This window comes from Homo sapiens, chromosome 5, assembly GCF_000001405.40.
Source record: "Homo sapiens chromosome 5, GRCh38.p14 Primary Assembly".
Taxonomy (NCBI): domain Eukaryota; kingdom Metazoa; phylum Chordata; class Mammalia; order Primates; family Hominidae; genus Homo; species Homo sapiens.
Genome location: NC_000005.10, coordinates 171,879,485 through 171,895,429, shown reverse-complemented (window position 1 = coordinate 171,895,429; position 15,945 = coordinate 171,879,485). Strand labels below are relative to the sequence as shown.

General features: G+C 39.0%; 1 protein-coding gene across 13 annotated transcripts in view; it reads left to right on the top strand.

Moving 5' to 3' along the window:
* The window catches only part of FBXW11 (F-box and WD repeat domain containing 11), a 145,090-nt gene that overhangs the window by 111,209 nt on the left and 17,936 nt on the right, over positions 1-15,945 (top strand). For all 13 annotated transcript variants that reach the window (NM_001378980.1, NM_033645.3, NM_033644.3 and 10 more), the window contains one exon: positions 3,826-3,963. In NM_001378980.1, coding sequence (NP_001365909.1) covers positions 3,826-3,963 — 138 coding nt within the window. The remainder of the gene's footprint in view (positions 1-3,825; positions 3,964-15,945) is intronic.

Genomic DNA, 15,945 nt, shown 5'->3' with positions numbered 1-15,945 from the left:
TGCAAACCTGATATTAACATTGTCCTGACCAGAAAATGTCAAAACTTGCCCACCCACCCAGTTGTGTTTAGGCTTCTAAAAATAATGTTATTCCTCCATACTCAGACATCTGTTTTCACTCTATTGCCAATTTAAATGCCGCTGTATACTCTGTGTATCATGGCTACTTTCCCAGTATTTTGAAAATTTGCGCAGGGTAAGGGGATTTTACAAGTTCTCAAAAACATGAAATATTCCTCTACAGTAGCCATACCACATGATGGCTAAGTGAAATGATAGGTATCCATATAAAGAGGTGCACCTGTGTATGACCTCTGTTCCTGCTGCTGGCATTAAGGTAATAGTTGGATTCCATTTGAAGGCTGAGCCTCTTCCTGGGAATGGTTAGGGAAGGCTCAGGCTTATTAGCATTAAATATCAGCCTAGACTGAGACAACAATTTCTGGCAACTTTGTGAGAATATATGTATTTGTTGTTGCAGCCCACTTTTTTTTGGTTAACGTTTTCAACAACTGAAGAAGAACATAACTGCTACCATTTGCTGGCACCATAATGAGAACTTATATACATAATCTCATTTGAACCTTACAGTGGTTTTGAGGGAGTAGATATTACTCTTCCCATCTTTACAGCAGCGAGTCCTTTGCCAAAGTTACTACTTGACCTAGGTATTTTCTACCACAGTGGGCTACCTGCCAGTTTTAAAGGTCTGGTTTTTCTAGAAAAAAAAAAAAAAAAAAAGACCTGGGTTATAAGCATTCAAGTAAGAGTCAAGGTTGTCAGACATCATGGGGGCAGTTTTTTAGGCCGGCGTAGTTGACAGGAAGTGCTGCTTTCTTGTGCCGGTGGCCTTGGGAATTGAGAAGAGGAGTTACCCAGGATTGGTGCGCAGCAAAGCAGTCAACTCCCTCATCTGGCTCCGTGTCTCTTTCGTGGCTTTTCAAAGCAAGCTGCACTTTGGGATTCAAGAAACTAATGATTCTAAAACAGGCCTAGGCGAGGACTTTGTAAAATGACACATCAAGAATTGGTTGACAAACTATTTCTTTTAAAATGCAGAAACTTATTTGAGAAAAGTAGGCTTTTTATAAGTGTTGAGAAGCTAAGCCATTTGCTAACTTCTGTTCAACTTAGAATGAAAGTCTGGTATCTAGCAGAGCTTTTGAGAGGTCCTGTTCCCTAGCTCTTACTTGAGGGTTGGGGATAGAGGGTATAGCCCAGCCTTTAATGTTGTTGTCGTCCTCTGTCCAGACATCTCAGGGGACTGATGTATCACAGGCTGAGTATGTACCTGACCCTGGCTCCTCTGTGTAGTCTTCTCTGCTGCGTCTTCAGGGTTTTGGGTACAGTTAAAGATTGTAACCACATCACCCACTTCTAGGAAACATTTTAGAGCAGCGGAGAGCATGGAGAAAATTCTTTTTGGTATAGAGATTCCCCCCCATCCCCTCTTTTAAATTAAAATAATTGTTTCCCCCTCAGACTCTCATGCGGTAGTAAATGTGCTTTTTCTAGTCATTGAAATATAGAGCATAACAAAGCTACTTACTGCTTCAGTGTCATTTTAAAGCAATTGTATACCTCTTAAACCTAAGAACAGCTTGATAACACTTGACATATATGTAAAGACATATTATGTATTCATCTCTGTCATACTTGTAATATGACATCATACATTCTGTAGCAACTCTGTGGGCCCCCAGAGGGTATAACGTGAACATTGGTAACTACTGCCAAGAGTCACTGGCCACAAATTAGACTTGTTACCAGTACATCTGCCTACTAAATCAGCATTTTCCTGGAGTGCTTAGCATGCTGAGATGGCACAGTCACTATCTAAAAATACATTGTTTCTCTAAATGATTCCATGCGTTGAGTTCTGCTTAAGAAATGCCTGTATTCTGGACCTCTTTTTAAAAAGTCGCTTATCCGGACAGATCTGTTGTCTACTTTGATAGAGGTAGCAGAGATGGTTGGGTTAGTTTTTTTTTTTTTTTTTTTTTTTTTTGGTTTTGAAGTGTGCTTTTGTATGTCTAATATTTTACCAAGTCACTAGAGATGATGACCCAGGCTAGGAAGTTCTGATTTGGTGGCAGATGGACAAATGAGTATTTCCCCTCTCCTGGCATCTCCATGGCACCTCCTTGTATCTCCTGAGCATTGGAAATATACCATCCTGCCCTCAGGATGTGTATGGGAGCTCCTTGAGGGAAGATACCGTATTTCCAGGACTCTTGCTGAGCACTGGGGCCACAAATGATGGAAATAATCGCTTTTTAAGTATACGTGTATCGATATCTCCAACCCTCCATTTCCTTTTCTATAAAATGCGAACAATGATTCCTGCTTCAGAGTCACGATTAAATTAGCTACAAAACATATAAAGTGAGTGGTATAGTGTTAGAAAAGCATAGTGCCTGGCATGTAGCTTTCAGTAAATTGTAACATTTTAGAGTGCACAGAAGGATACTATCTTCAAAATAAGAAGAAATACAGTTTGTTAGATGTCAGCAGAGCCAGTAATTAAGTACTCCTTCAACAAAGCAAATAATTAGACTTTTAGCTGTACAGAAATAATTAGCTACTCAGAGAGAAACTATATCCTGAACTGAAGTGTAACAGGTTATAGAAATCCCTGTTGTCCCCTAATTTCAAGGATCAAGAATTCAGACTTTAGTTACTCTTAGTAGAGACATTGTATCTTTTGAGCCTTAAAAAATCACTTATGTCTACTACCAGAGGTTAGGTCTTCTGGTGCTCTGGGTATGACCTACTTCTTCACTAAACTTGTCCCAGTGTCTCAGGCTATAGAGCTCATTATCTCCCTTAAGTCCTGCAGCACTTAGAATTTTTATCACTCATTTGGCACTTTTGGAATTGTTACTGATCTTCTTACGTTCTGTGTGCACTGCCGCAAGAGGCAGGCCCATCCTGCTTTGTGGGCATTGAATATGTTAGTAGCAAAAGCATGGGTTTGGAGTCGGAAAGAACTGAGTGTGATTTCCAGCTAGTCCGATTACTGATTTTGTGGCTGCAGGCAAATTAAACTCTGTTTTCTTGTTTGTAAAAAGGAAATAATAAGTACTTCCTTCCTTCCAAGGTTATTGTATGGATCATTTAACCAAATACACTTAGTTTAGTGTCTCTCTAGATCCAGACACCATGGGCCTAGATATTGGAGTGGTGCCTCCCTGAATGCAGTATGTCTCCTGTTGATCTTTTTATCCTCAGTGCCTAGCACACTATGTGGAATATATTAACATCTCAGCAAATGTTGCATGAATGATAAGAGGAATAAGAATCTAGGGCTAAAATGTACCATTTTTACTCTACAGAAACATTAGGAAGGTTAAAAATGATAAAATTCTTCCTATGTAGTTGGCTTATAGTAGTTGCTCACTATCTTTCCTCAGTGATCAAGACAATTCTTTGTTTGGATATGTAGATTGTCAATATATGCTTAATGATGGTTTTTTAATTGGCATTAGGGAGCGACCCAATGAGTTACTATTTATTTGCATGTTTTGGGTGCAAACGGCGTTCTTTAAACATACTGAATTCTGTCTAGGCCAGTTTTTTCAAGCCCAGTCCAAAACTCATTGGAAATCCTATGACGGTTGCCAAATGGGCAGGGAAAGTTTAAGAAAAAACATTGTTGGGTTAATGTCTTACTTGGAAAAGAGCATGATCCTATCCACAGACAGTTATGCAAACCAAGATTGGGGTATCGGTGGTATGCTGTTTCTGGAAGCAACGCCAAAGTCTGAAACCTAATAGAGTAAGTTGATTCATAAAAACTCATCTCTTGCCTCCTTTTTTCCCTAGACTATAGAATCTAACTGGCGGTGTGGACGACACAACTTGCAGAGGATTCAGTGCCGCTCTGAAAATAGTAAAGGTGTCTACTGTTTACAGTACGATGATGAAAAAATTATCAGTGGCCTACGAGATAATTCTATTAAGGTGAATGACTGAATTTTTTATGTATTATTTTTAGAATCGTGGCTATGTGTTAGACACTAGATGTGACAATCTTTCCATTTACTCTAGATTGGTTTTTATCTCTTCCACTCAATCTTGGCAGCTCTCAGTGTAGTTCTAAAGAACTAGAGCCAGAGCATTTCCCCGAAACTAATACAAGACCCTGGATTGTCTCACTTCTTATCCTTCTCTAAGCACATTCACATTCTATATTCTGTATTAGGTGTAAATAGAAAATATCCCAGTATCACAGGGCTCTTGATTACTTTGCCAGCTGGTATTGGTAGTTTATAAACCAAAGGTGTTACCTTTTATGGTTCCTGAGAAGGACTCAAATAATAATACCACAGAATGATAGAGCAACTTATATTGTTTTCATTAACTTTTCAGTAGTAGATAAACTGGATTATTTTTCCATGTTTAATCTGTTTGATGGCTGATCTGATCTGATTTTATTTTACATTGTTTGTATCTTATGTCCTCATATTTAAGAAAACATGTTTTTTAAACTTTGTAAAAAAACATTATAACTTACAAACAGGGAAGTTTGCTCTTTTGTTGTATAATTCTGTGAATTTTGATAAACACACAGACATGTATAACTGTTACAAAAATCACGATATGGAGCAGCTCTCTCATTCCCCCAATTCCCTTGTCCTGCCCGTTTCTTATCCTGGGCTTTTCTGCCTCTTTCCTGTGCTTACCCATTCACCTGTTGAAGGATGTTTGTGTTGTTTCCAGTTTCTGACAATTATGAATAAAGCTACCATAATTATATACCTGTAGGTTTTTTGGGGAACATAAATTTTTAGTTCATTGCGTGAAAACTGAGGAGTGGGGTTACTGGCTCATATGGTAAGTGTATGTTTCACCTGCTAAGAAACTGCCCAGCTGTTCTCCAAAGTGCCTGTACCATTTCACATTCCCATCTACAGTGATGAGAGTTTTTTTTTTTTTTTTTGAGACGGAGTCTCTCTCTGTCACCTGCCTCCTGGGTTCAAGCAATTCTCCTGCCGTCCTACCTCAGCCTCCTGAGTAGCTGGGACTACAGGCATGTGGCACCACGCCCAGCTAATTTTTTTGTTTTTAGTAGAGATGGTGTTTTGCCGTGTTGCCCAGGCTGGTCTTGAGCTCCTGACCTCAAGTAATGCGCCTGCCCCAAAGTGCGGGGATTACGGGCGTGAGCAGCCACCACACCTGGCCTGAGAGTTGCTTTTGTTCTGTATCCTTGTCAGCCCTTGATCATCTCAGTTTTTTTTGATACTAGCCATTCTAATAGGTATGTGAACATACCTCATTTTGCTTTAAATTCACATTTCCCCAGTGATGATAGTGAGCATCTTTTTATGTGCTTACCTGCCATCTCTATATTCTGTGGTGAAGTTTCTTTTCAGATCTTTTACCCATTTTAAAATGGGTTCTTTGTTTTTTTATTACTGAGTTTTTAGAGTTCTTTATGTAGTCTAGATACGTCCTTTGCTAGATATGTTTTGCATATATTTTTCCCAATTAGTGAGTTGTCTTTTCATTTTCTTTTTATTTAAAAAAAATTTTTTTTGAGACGGAGTTTTACCCTTGCCTGGGCTAGATTAGAGTGCAATGGCACGATCTCAGCTCACTGCAACCTCCGCCTCCCGGGTTTGAGCGATTATCCTGCCTCAGCCTCCCGAGTAGCTGGGATTATAGGCATGAGCCACCATGCCCAGCTACTTTTTTGTATTTTTATTAGAGACAGGGTTTCTCCATGTTGGTCAGGCTGGTCTCAAACTCCCGACTTTAGGTGATCCACCTGCCCCGGCCTCCCAAAGTGCCCCGATTACAGGCGTAAACCACCATGCCTGGCCGTCTTTTCATTTTCTCATTTTCTTAATGATCTCTTTAATGGAGCAAAAGATTTTAATTTTTTTTTTTTTTTTTTTTTGAGATGGAGTCTCACTCTGTCACCCAGGCTGGAGTGCAGTGGCATGATCTCGGCTCACTGCAACCTCCACCTCCTGGGTTCAAGCAATACTTGTGCCTTAGCCTCCCAAATAGCTGGGACTACAGGCATGAGCCACCATGCCCAGCTAATTTTTGTATTTTTAGTGGAGACGGGGTTTCACCATGTTGACCCGGCTGGTCTTGAACTCCTGGCCTCAGGTGATCTGCCTACCTTGGCCTCCCAAAGTGCTGAGATTACAGGCGTGAGCCACTGTACTTGACAGAAGATTTTAATTTTGATGAAGTCCAACTTACCAGTTTTTTCTTTTATGGATCATGCTTTCGATATTATATCCAAGAAGCCTTTCTCTGAGCTTCATGAATGTGTAAATTTACGTCTTTCATTCATTACATTTCAGAAGTCTTCAGCCATTATTTTTTCAAATATTTTTTTCTGTACCAATTTCTCCTTTCCTTCTGAGACTCTAATCACATAAATACTATATCTTTTGATATTGTTCCACATTGTTTTCAATCTTTGTTCCTCCCTTTTCTGGATAATTTCTATTGGCCTATCTTCAAGTTGACTGAATTTTTCATCTCTTCATCTCTATTCTCCTGTTACCCTCCGCCCCATCAAGTGAGTTTTTAATTTCAGGTATGATATTTTACAGTTTCTATTTCTCTGCTGAGAATTCTCTCTTTTTTATTTACCTCAAGCACGTTTATCTTTATCCTGTGGAGTATAGAGTAGGTGCTTAACATCTTTAACCATGTCAGCATCTGGGTAACCTCCAGCTTGACATCTGTTGATTGTCCAGTCCCCTGAGATTGTTCATCTTTCTTGATTTTTGTATGCCAGGTAATTTAAACTAGTATTTTGGGCATTGTGGATATTATGTTGTAAAGACTGTGGGTCCTGTTATAATCCTCTGGACAATGTTTTTGGGTAAGTGTGTTTTTAAGCAGTTAGTCAACTTAGTTGGGTTCAGAACACAAGTTCTGTCTTGACATCATCAGAGGGGTTGCGGGGATGGCTCTAATCTCTTTTCCACTGTTCAAAGCCTTTGCAATATGCCACTTTGCGTCTGTCATGGGCTTTCACTACTTAGAGGTTAATCTGAGGCTTCAGCAGTGCTTTAAATATCAGCTCATTGAGACAGCCTTTGCTGTGCTGGTTCAGTCTGTTCTGCGCATATACAGCTCAAGGGTAAGCCCAAGTCATGTGTTGTTTGGGTTCTTTTATTTCCAGTTCTTTCCTCTTGGATTTCCCTAAGTCTCTTCAGCCCATAAGGACACTTTTTTCCTTTTCCTCTGGCCAGAAAAATTGGGTCACTCTTGGAATTTTTTTATCTTTTCCATTGTTCTGCAGTGTGTCGTCATGACTGGAGCCATGAGCCCTGTGAGAGAAGAGAGAAAAGAAACCCCCAGGGATCTCTTTTTTTCCAGCCCCTCTGCCTAGAGGGATTTCTTTCAGAATTTTAGCTGCATGTTTTGCTATTTCACTGTATAGCTTCCTGGTCAAGGGCCTGCCTTTGAGCAAAAGCCACAGAAGGAAGAAAAGAGAAAAAGCCGGGTGTGGTGGCTCATGCCTGTAATCCCAGCACTTTGGGAGGCTGAGGCGGGTGGATCACTTGAGGCCAGGAGTTCAAGACCAGCCTGGCCAACATGGTGAAACCCTGTCACTACTAAAAATACAAAAAATTAGCTGGGCGTGGTGGTGGGCACCTGTAATCCCAGATACTCGGGAGGCTGAGGCATGAGAATTGCTTGAACCCAGGAGGCAGAGGTTGCAGTGAGCCAGGATCACACCACTGCAATTCAGAGCAAGACTCTGTCTCAATAAAAAATAAAAAAAAAAAGAAAGAAAACAGAAAACAACAAAGAAAAATAATGGCAAATTCACCCCCATGCAGATTGTTTCTTCACATTTTGACCCCTTGCCACATCTACCTGTTGTCCCCTCTTTCCCCTTACTTTTCAGAGTTCTTAACTAGTTTTTATCAGGAGTGTTTAGTTATAATCAACTGGAGAGATAGATTGTAGTGGGCTTTCTCCATCTTGGCCCTGTTTTCTGTTATTGTTCTATTTTGGGTGAAATAAAGCTTTTCTGCTTTTTTTTTTAATTTTTATTTTTTGTTTGTTTTTTAAAAAGTGAAATAGTGGAATTTTAGTAATTCAGCTACCTAGGTCAAACGCACTCTGAATTATAGAATATAAGAAACTGTTCTGTTGGTTTCCTATATGTATGGCAGTGTTTGCCAAAAGATATTCTGTGGATGTGAATCTAGAGGATGTTGGCAGGCATTCTAGGCAGAGAATAATAATGCCCTCCAAGGAAGTTTAGATAACACTGCATGCTGTGTCTCCAGCTTAGAAATTCACAGGATACAGTAGCATATAAAGGCTCTGAGAATGCCTACAATAGAGACAGACACCCAGTGTTTCCCAAGTTCCAAAACTTATTTGACCACGGAACTCTATTTTTAATTTTTTTTTTCTTACTTTTTGAGACAGAGTCTCGCTCTGTCACCCTGGCTGGAGTGCAGTGGCATGATTTCGGCTCACTGCAACCTCCACCTCCTGGGTTCAAGTGAGCGATTCTCCTCCCTCAGCCTCCTGAGTAGCTGGGACTACAGGTGCCTGCCACCAGGCCTGGCTAATTTTTTGTGTTTTTAGTAGAGATGAGGTTTCGCTATGCTGGCCAGGCTGGTCTCAAACTCTTGACCTCAAATGATCCTCCTGCCTCGGCCTACCAAAGTGCTGAGATTACAGGTGTAAGCCACTGCTCCTGGCCCACCGAACTCTATTTTTATATATACTTGATAGCCCTAACCTGTGGCTACCAGTATACTCTAGAAAGTGTGACATATGCTACTATTTAATACTGGTGGTTTTTCTTTTTTTCTATCAATATATCGTTTTATTTTATTATTTATTTATTTATTTATTTTTTATTATACTTTAAGTTTTAGGGTACATGTGCACAACGTGCAGGTTTGTTACATATGTATACATGTGCCATGTTGGTGTGCTGCACCCATTAACTCTTCGTTTAACATTAGGTATATCTCCTAATGCTATCCCTCCCCCCTCCCCCAACCCCACAACAGGCCCCAGTGTGTGATGTTCCCCTTCCTGTGTCCAGGTGTTCTCATTGTTCAATTCCCACCTATGAGTGAGAACATGCGGTGTTTGGTTTTTTGTCCTTGCGATAGTTTGCTGAGAATGATGGTTTCCAGCTTCATCCATGTCCCTGCAAAGGACATGAACTCATCATTTTTTATGGCTGCATAGTATTCCATTTTCTTAATCCAGTCTATCATTGTTGGACATTTGGGTTGGTTCCAAGTCTTTGCTATTGTGAATAGTGCTGCAATAATACTGGTAGTTTTTCTTTAAGGAATAGTTAAGAATGGTTTATAACAACTTTGTCAAAGCATAGTCTGGCTGTGGGCTTGGAATTCATTTACACTAGATGTGTTTTCTGAAGAATTCTCTTAATTGTGGCACATCCATTTGACTTAATAAGACATAGAATAGTAGAGCAGAAGTGCGCTTTGAAGAGATTATCTAGACCAGTGGTTGGAAACCTTTTTTTTGCTCTATTCTGCACCAATCCTTGATCACTAATCACTTTAAAAAATAACTCAGGTTCCATTAGGTCAGAAGTTAAAAGCAAGCTTTGCTATTGTAGATATTATATTTCAGTGTCTACCTCATTTATAAAATCTTGTTCACTTGCAGTAAACTGTAGAGTCACTACAAATTATGATAGTATTGTACATGTCAAGAAATAGGTGCACAGAGTCTATTTTAAATAGTTCAATCTTTGAAAACATTCTCATCTCCCATTAAATATCAACAATATTGTTAACTTGGGAACACTGGAAAGATTAAAAGAAGGGAGTGGGTTTGGTACGTAAGAAGTTGCTACTTGTCCTGACAACAAGTAAAAATCTGAACAAACTGAAAAATCAACCATTCTACTTAGATTCATAAGAGAAGTGAGGTCACAGGAGAAGCTGCTGCCCCACAAATTGGAGAGACAGGCAAATACAGAGAATCATAACTCACTGGAGCAGAAACATCCGGGAGAACCAGTGCCTGGGTAGGGTAACCTGAACCGTAATTGAAAAATTGCTGGAGGCTCAGTGTGGGACAAGTCTGAGAAATATAAACTGAGGAGGACCCAGTCATCAGGCTCCCCACCACACTTTTGTGAGTTTTACCTGCAAGAGCTCTACCAGATTCTCTCAGTGATTATCCCAGAAAAATCTCCTTGTGTTTCCAGCAGCGGGAAGGGAAAAGAAACTTTTAAAACTATACTAGGTTATTCTGTACTTCTTGATAAGGTCTACCTTCAGTAGAAACTGCTTAGCCAGAGCCTAAAGTGCTGAGATTTTATAGAACCTGACTGACCTGGGGAAGGGAAATACACAACTCCAGCCCCCTCATCCATTTGGTCACGCATAAAGGGGTGAGGAAGAACTGAGAAGTACTTGTGAAGTCTAGAGGTATAGGCTCACTAAAAGACTCAGACCTAGTCATGGAACTATAGAACGCTTCCCTTCTTGAAGGCCTGTTTATAGCATTTCCTTTTGATTAATGTACACAAATCAGTAGCTCTTCTGTAAACCAACAGTGACCAGGAGGAGAATCACATCAAGAACTCAACCTCTTTTACAATAGCTGCAAAAAAATAACATACTTAGGAATATACCTAATCAAGGAGTCAAAAGACCTCTACAAGGAAAACTACAAAACACTGCTGAAAGAAATCATAGATGACACGAACAAATGGAAACACATCCCATGCTCATGGATGGGTAGAATCAATATTGTGAAAATAACCATACTGCCAAAAGCAATCTACAAATTCAATGCAGTCCCTGTCAAAATACGACCTAATACCAAAACCAGGAAAGGACATAACCATTCCTTTCTCATTCTTCACAGAATTAGATAAAACAATTCTAAAATTCACTTGGAACCAAAAAAGAGCCCATGTAGCCAAAGCAAGACTAAGCAAAAAGAATAAATCTGGAGGCATCACACTACCTGATTTCAAACTATACTATAGTGCTTATAGTCACCAAAACAGCATGGTACTGGTACAAAAATAGGGATATAGACCAATGGAACAGAATAGAGAACCCAGAAATAAACCCAAATACTTACAGCCAACTGATCTTTGATAAAGCAAACAAAAATATAAAAGTGGGGAAAGGACACCCTTTTCAACAACTAGTACTGGGATAATTGGCAAGCCACATACAGGAGAATGAAACTGGATCCTCATCTCTCACCTTATACAAAAATCAACTCAATGTGGATTAAGGACTTTAAACCTAAGACCTGAAACTAGAAAAATTCTGGGAGATAACATTGGAAAAACCCTTCTAGACATTGGCTTAGGCAAGGATTTCATAACCAAGAACCAAAAGCAAATACTACAAAAACAAAGATAAATAGCTGGGACCTAATTAAACTAAAGAGCTTTTGCACAGCACAAGGAACAGTTAGCAGAGTAAACAGCCCACAGAGTGGGAGAAAATCTTCACAATCTATACATCTGACAAAGGACTAATATCCAGAATCTACAATGAACTCAAACAAATCAACAAGAAAAAAACAAACACAATGAACTCAAACAAATCAACAAGAAAAAAACAAACAATCCCATCAAAAAGTGGGCTAAGAACATGAACAGACAATTCTCAAAAGAAGATATACAAAATAGTCAATACACATATGAAAAAATGCTCAACACAGGAAAAAATGCCCGACAAACATGATAAAATGATCAGAGAAATGCAAATCAAAACCACATTGTGATACCACCTCCTGCAAGAATGGCCATAATAAAAAAATCAAAAAACAGTAGATGCTGGCATGGATATGATGAACAGGGAACACTTCTACACTGCTGGTGGGAATGTAAACTAGTACAGCTGCTATGGAAAACAATGTGGAGATTTCTTTTTCTTTTATTTTTTTTATTATACTTTAAGTTTTAGGGTACATGTGCTCAACGTGCAGGTTTGTTACATATGTATACATGTGCCATGTTGGTGTGCTGCACCCATTAACTCGTCATTTAATGTTAGGTATATCTCCTAATGCTATCCCTCCCGCCTCCCCACACTGGGGCCTGTTGTGGGGTGGGGAGATTTCTTAAAGAACTAAAAGTAGAACTACCATTTGATCCAGCAGTCCCACTACTGGGTATCTACCCAGAGGAAAATAAGTCATTATTTAAAAAAGACACTTGCACATGGATGTTTATAGCAGCACAATTCACAATTGCAAAATTGTGGAACCAACCCAAATGCCCATCACTCAACGAGTGGATAAAGAAACTGTGACTGATATATATATGATGGAATACTATGCAGCCATATAAAGGAATGAATTAACAGCATTTGCGGTGACTTGGATGAGATTGGAGACTGTTATTCTAAGCAAAGTAACTCAGGATGAAAAACCAAACATCATATGTTCTCACTGTTATGTAAGAGCTAAGCTATGAGGACGCAAATGCATAAGAATGATGCATTGGACTTTGGGGACTTGGGGGGACGAGTGGGAGGGGGGCAAGGGATAGAAGACTACAAATATGGTGCAGTATATACTGCTTGGGTGATGAGTGCACCAGAATCTCACAAATCACCACTAAAGAACTTAGGTAACCAAATACCACCTGTACAATAGCTTATGGAAAAATAAAAAAATAAAAGCAATAAAAAAAGAAAGGCTAGAAATTAATACAATGTCCAATCATACCACAGTGGATATAAACTAGAAATCAGTAAAAAAAAGAAGCTGGAAAAATTCCTAAATACTTTAAGGTTACATAACATAATTCTAAATAGCACATGGATCAAAGAAGAAATCTCAAGAGAAATTTTAAAAATATTTTGAGGCTGGGCACAGTGGTTCACGTCTGTAATCCCTACACTTTGGGAGGCTGAGGTGGGAGGATTGCTTGAGCCCAGAAGTTTGAGACAAGCCTGGGAAACATAGGGAGACCCTGTCTCTACAAAAAAATTAAAAAACATTAGCTGGGCATTGTGGCATGCGTCTGTAGTCCCAGCTACTCAAGAGGCTGAGGTGGGAGGATCACCTGAGCCCGGGAGGTCAAAGGCTGCAGTAAGCTGTGATTGTGTCACTGTATTTCAGCCTGAGTGACGGTGTGAGACTTTCTCTCCCTCCTCCTTCGCTGTGTGTGTGCACATGTGTGCATGTGTGGGTGGGTGTAACTAAATGAAAATGAAAGCCCAAGTTATCAAAATCTGTGGGATGCAGTGAAAGCTTAGAATTTTATAGTATTGAGTGCATATATTAGAAAAAAGACTAAAAATCAGTCATCTAAGCTTCCACCTTAGGAAACTAGAAAAAGAACAGTTTAAATCCGTAGTAAGCAGAATAAAAGAGTTAATGAAAAGTAGGGCAGAGATCAATGAAATTGATAACAGGAAATCCATAGAAATAGGTAAGGAAACCAAAAGATGTGTCTTTGAAAAGATGAGTAAAATTGATAATTACGTTAGCTATGCTAACATAGAAAAAAAAGCACTCAGATTCCTAATATTGAAATGAAAGAGGAGACATCACTATAGCTCTCATGAGCGTTAAATGAATAATAAAATAATATGATCAACTCCCTGTTTACAAATTTGATAATTTATATGAAATGAATTAATTCCCTGAAAGACACAGTCTTCCAAAATTGACATAAAAACAAATAGGTAATCTGAATAGGCCTTTATCTGTTGAAGAAATTGAGTCAATAATTAATTACTTTCCAAAACAGCACCAGGCCCAGATGAGTTACTGGTGAATTCTGTCAAACATTTAAGTAAGAAATTACACCAGTTCTCTACAATCTCTTCCAGAAGATAGAAGAAGAGAGAATATTTCATCACTCATTCTATGAGGCCATTGTTACCTTAGTACTAAACTAGATGAAGACATTCAAAGAAAACCACAGACCAATATCTTCATGTTTAACCTTCAAAAATCAATTAATCCGTCATATCAATAAGCCAAAGAAGAAAATCACGTCAATAGATGCAGAAAGGGCGTTTGAGAAAATTGAACACTCTTTCGTGATAAAAACCCTTAGTAAACTATGAATAGAGGGGAACTTCCTTAACTTGATAAAGAGTATCTACAAAAAGCCTATAGCTAACGTCACACACAGTGCTGAGAAATGTGAAACTTTCCCACTAAGGTCAGGAATAAGACAAAGATGTCCCCACTCACCACTATGTTTCAACATTGTATTAGAACTCCTAGATAACACACTAAGACAAGGTATACAAATTGAGAAGGAAGAATTAAAACTGTCTTTGCTTGTAGATGACATGATTGTAGAAAAAAATGAAAGCATCAACAAAAAAAACCTCCTAGAACTAATAAATGATTATAGCAAGTTTGCCGGATACAAGGTTAATATACTTAAGTCAGTTGCTTACCCATATAGCAGCAATGAACAAGTGGAATGTGAAATTAAAAACACAATAACATGGCTGGGCGCGGTGGCTCACGCCTATAATCCCAGCACTTTAGGGAGGCCGAGGTGGGTGGATCATCTGAGGTCAGGAGTTTGTGACCAGCCTGGCCAACATGGTGAAACTCCGTCTCCACTAAAAATACAAAAATTAGCCGGGTGTGGTGGTGGGCGCCTATAGTCCTGCTACTCAGGAGGCTGAGGCAGGACAATAGCTTGAACTTGGGAGGCGGAGGTTGCAGTGAGCCGAGATCGCGCCATTGCACTCCAGCCTGGGTGACAGAGTGAGACTCCATCTCAAAAAACACAATAACATTTATATTAGCACCTCCCCCACCAATGAAATACTTAGGTATAAATCTAACAAAATATTTATAAGATCTATGTGAAGAAAACTATAAAACTGATTAAAGAAATCAAAGAACTAAATAAATGGGGAGAGATATTTCATGCTCATGGGTAGGAAGACTATTGTGAGGATGTCAGTCATTTCTTCCCAAATTGGTCTGTAGGTTCAATGCAGTCTCAATCAAAATCCCAGCAAGTGATTTTGTGGATATCTACCAGCTGACTGTAATGTTTATATGGACAAGCAAAAACCAGCATGATACTGAAGTAGAATAAAGACAGAGGACTAACACTACCCTACTTGAAGAATTACTGTAAAACTGCAGTCATCACAGTGGTGTGGTGCTGGCAACAGAATGGACAGCTAGATCCATGGAACAGAATAGAGAGCCCAGAAATATATACCTTCATAAATATAGTCAGCTGATCTTTTACAAAGGAGCAAAGACAATACAGTAGAGAAAAGATTGTGTCTTCAACAAATGGGGCAGAAGCAATTAGACACCATATTGCCTCCCTTACCCTTAAACAGTCTAGACATAGATCCTATATACTTCACAAAAATTAACTCAAAATGGATTAAAGACCTGACTGTAAAACACAAAATCTTAAAATTCACAGAATGTAACATAGGAGAGAATCTAGATGATCTTGAATTTGTTGATGACTTTTTAGATATAATACCAAAGCCATGACCCATGAAAGAAAGAATTAATGAGCTGGACTTTGTTAAAATTAAAAATTTCTGCTCTGTGAGAGACATTGTCTGGAGAATGAAAAAACAAGCCACAGACTAGAGAAAATGTATGCAAAAGACATACAAAGAACTCTTGAATCTCAACAGTAAGAAAAAAAACAATTAGCTTAACCTGATTTTTAAAAATAAGGCATAGACCTTAACAGACATCTCACCAAAGAAGGATATACAGATGGCATATTGTAAGTATGTGAAAAGATGTTACACATTGTAAGTCATCAGAGAAATGTGAATTATAACAGTGAGACACTACTACACACCTGTTAGCATGGCCAAAATCCAGAACACTGACAACACCCAATGCTGGTGAGAATGTGGAGCAATAGGAACAGGAACTTTCATTCATTGCTGTTGGAAATGGAAAATAGTACAGCCACTTCAGAAGGCAGTTTGGCATTCTTACGAAACTAAACATACTTTTACC